The 3,420-nt window shown below is 43.7% G+C and overlaps 2 annotated features.

Moving 5' to 3' along the window:
* Positions 732-1,302: an enhancer, noted in NCBI's record as "H3K27ac-H3K4me1 hESC enhancer chr3:18371920-18372490 (GRCh37/hg19 assembly coordinates)". NCBI's record gives its function as "activates a minimal SCP1, AML or CMV promoter by ChIP-STARR-seq in naive H9 embryonic stem cells {active_cell/tissue: H9 hESC(naive)}" and the evidence as "EXISTENCE:reporter gene assay evidence [ECO:0000049][PMID:30033119]".
* Positions 1,303-1,872: an enhancer, noted in NCBI's record as "H3K27ac-H3K4me1 hESC enhancer chr3:18372491-18373060 (GRCh37/hg19 assembly coordinates)". NCBI's record gives its function as "activates a minimal SCP1, AML or CMV promoter by ChIP-STARR-seq in naive H9 embryonic stem cells {active_cell/tissue: H9 hESC(naive)}" and the evidence as "EXISTENCE:reporter gene assay evidence [ECO:0000049][PMID:30033119]".

The following is a 3,420-nucleotide window of genomic DNA, read 5'->3' on the forward strand; positions in this document are numbered from 1 at the left end:
TCTCTGGCTGCCCTTAACATTTTTTCCTTCATTTCCACTTTGGTGAATCTGACAAATATGTGTCTTGGAGTTGCTCTTCTCGAGGAGTATCTTTGTGGCGTTCTCTGTATTTCCTGAATCTGAATGTTGGCCTGCCTTGCTAGATTGGGGAAGTTCTCCTGGATAATATCCTGCAGAGTGTTTTCCAACTTGGTTCCATTCCCCCTGTCACTTTCAGGTACACCAATCAGACGTAGATTTGGTCTTTTCACATAGTCCCATATTTCTTGGAGGCTTTGTTCATTTCTTTTTATTCTTTTTTCTCTACACTTCCCTTCTCGCTTCATTTCATTCATTTCATCTTCCATCGCTGATACCCTTTCTTCCAGTTGATCGCATCGGCTCCTGAGGCTTCTGCATTCTTCACGTAGTTCTCGTGCCTTGGCTTTCAGCTCCATCAGCTCCTTTAAGCACTTCTCTCTATTGGTTATTCCAGTTATACATTCGTCTAAATTTTTTTCAAAGTTTTTAACTTCTTTGCCTTTGGTTTGAATTTCCTCCTGTAGCTCGTAGTTTGATCGTCTGAAGCCTTCTTCTCTCAACTCGTCAAAGTCATTCTCCGTACAGCTTTGTTCCATTGCTGGTGAGGAACTGAGATCCTTTGGAGGAGGAGAGGTGCTCTGCTTTTTAGAGTTTCCAGTTTTTCTGCTCTGTTTTTTTCCCCATCTTTGTGGTTTTATCTACTTTTGGTCTTTGATGATGGTGATGTACAGATGGGTTTTTGGTGTGGATGTCCTTTCTGTTTGTTAGTTTTCCTTCTAACAGACAGGACCCTCAGCTGCAGGTCTGTTGGAGTACCCTGCCGTGTGAGGTGTCAGTGTGCCCCTGCTGGGGGGTGCCTCCCAGTTAGGCTGCTCGGGGGTCAGGGGTCAGGGACCCACTTGAGGAGGCAGTCTGCCCGTTCTCAGATCTACAGCTGCATGCTGGGAGAACCACTGCTCTGTTCAGAGCTGTCAGACAGGGACATTTAAGTCTGCAGAGGTTACTGCTGTCTTTTTGTTTGTCTGTGCCCTGCCCGCAGAGGTGGAGCCTACAGAGGCAGGCAGGCCTCCTTGAGCTGTGGTGGGCTCCACCCAGTTGGAGCTTCCCAGCTGCTTTGTTTACCTAAGCAAGCCTGGGCAATGGCGGGCGCCCCTCCCCCAGCCTGGCTGCCGCCTTGCAGTTTGATCTCAGACTGCTGTGCTAGCAATCAGCGAGACTCCGTGGGCGTACGACCCTCCGAGCCAGGTGCGTCATTTTTTAAGCCCGTCGGAAAAGCACAGTATTCGGGTGGGAGTGATCCGATTTTCCAGGTGCCGTCTGTCACTCCTTTCTTTGACTAGGAAAGGGAACTCCCTGACCCCTTGCACTTCCCGAGTGAGGCAATGCCTCGCCCTGCTTTGGCTCGGGCAAGGTGCGCTGCACCCACTGACCTGCGCCCACTGTCTGGCACTCCCTAGTGAGATGAACCCGGTACCTCAGATGGAAATGCAGAAATCACCGGTCTTCTGCGTCGCTCACGCTGGGAGCTGTAGACTGGAGCTGTTCCTATTCGGCCATCTTGGCTCCTCCCTACTTTTCCTAATTTCTAAGGATGGTAAACTATGTTATTTCTTTGAGACTTTTTTCTTCTCTAATATAAGCCCTTAATGCTATAAATTTCTTTCAAAGCACTGCTTTAGCTGTAGTGCATTTTAATTTTGGTACACTTCAAAATATTTTATAACGTCTTTTGAGATTTCCTCGTTCACCCATGGGTTACTTGCAAGTATATTGTTTAACTTGTGTTTGGAGACTTTCCCATATTTTTCTGTTACTGGTTTAATTCCATTATGTCTGAAGATATGCTCTGTGATTTTGATTCTCTTAAATTTACCCCATCTTAACTTTTTGAATTGTCATCTAGCCAGCAATCTCTACTCCAGTGAAACAACTGTTCTAAATGTGGAAAGGTATACTGGAATAAATTAAAATCAGAGCAATCTTATACCTAAGTCTCATTGATAAAGATGCTTTTCTAACATATATTTATAGTGAAAGTGAATTTGTTTTGTATTTCAATCTCTAACTGAAAAACTTGAAAGTAAATTTTCATTTATTAGAGGCTACTGATTGGAGAATCATATGGATGATATTATTTTTGTTTGTGAATTGAATTCCCATTTCACCCCACTGTCACCCTACCCATTTTAGCTAGTAGGAAGAGGAACTTCATGGTAACATTTTTAAAACAATTAACCTTGAAACATTTTCAGGAATAAAGATTTGTGGTGAATGTCCTGGAGAGAGATTTTTCTCTGTATTATGGTAGCATTTTCCTCATTGCAGGCTTTTCTACTTATGATTTATTTGTCACCAGTTTTAGATATCCTCGTATGTCCTCCACACAGTTTCACAACCCACAGAGTTGTTGGGGACAATAGAATAGAATAAAAGATATAATGATACGTGTAGGTGAGATTTTAATCTGGAAATTAATAGACTGTAGTATGCATTTTTCTCGAGTGAAAACAAATCTTTCTCCAGTGTCCTGTGCTTTCCCTATCAACAGACTCTTACTTCCTAATCCATAGATCCTAAATTTCAGTCTAAATAAATCTGACATTTCATGGATATAAGAGTCACCCTCAGATATTTAGGAATCGGCATTTCTATTTATTTTTATTTTTATTTTTTGAGACAGAGTCTTGCTCTGTCCCCCAGGCTGGAGTGCAGTGGCACGATCTCGACTCACTGCAAGCTCCACCTCCCAGGTTCACGCCATTCTCCTGCCTCAGCCTCCCAAGTAGCTGGGATTACAGGCGCCCGCCACCACGCCCGGCTAATTTTTTGTATTTTTAGTAGAGACGGGGTTTCACCGTGTTAGCCAGGATGGTCTTGATCTCCTGACCTGGTGATCCGCCTGCCTTGGCCTCCCAAAGTGCTGGGAGTACAGGCGTGAGCCACCGCGCCTGGCCAGGAATCGGCATTTCTAAAAAGAACCAAGGGCATTCCTCTCTGGACCACATTATGAAAGGCCTGGCTTAATCAACGTGTGGGTTATTAATACTCCCAGGTAAGTGGTTATCTGGAATATGCTCAGTTTGCCTGTTCCACCGCAATCACATTTCTAGTATTTCCTGCTATAGTTGGCAACTCTTTGTCAATAAAATTATATTAAGATTAACTATCATGATAACAATTCAAACCTACTGGATTTAATAAATTGAGTGGCATCTCACAATCAACGAGGTAGAAATCGGTGGATAAATATCCAAGCCTTCCCATTCCTAGAAGGGCAACTTTGGGCTTCATTCTACATGGTTTCTAAAAGTCTTTACTGGGATTCACCTTTAGTAGCTTCCCTACGCAAGGAAAGAGCGCTTCTTCCTGTCTAGGTCTGCTTCAGTAATATTTCATGGC

This window comes from Homo sapiens, chromosome 3 (genome assembly GCF_000001405.40).
Source record: "Homo sapiens chromosome 3, GRCh38.p14 Primary Assembly".
Lineage (NCBI taxonomy): Eukaryota > Metazoa > Chordata > Mammalia > Primates > Hominidae > Homo > Homo sapiens.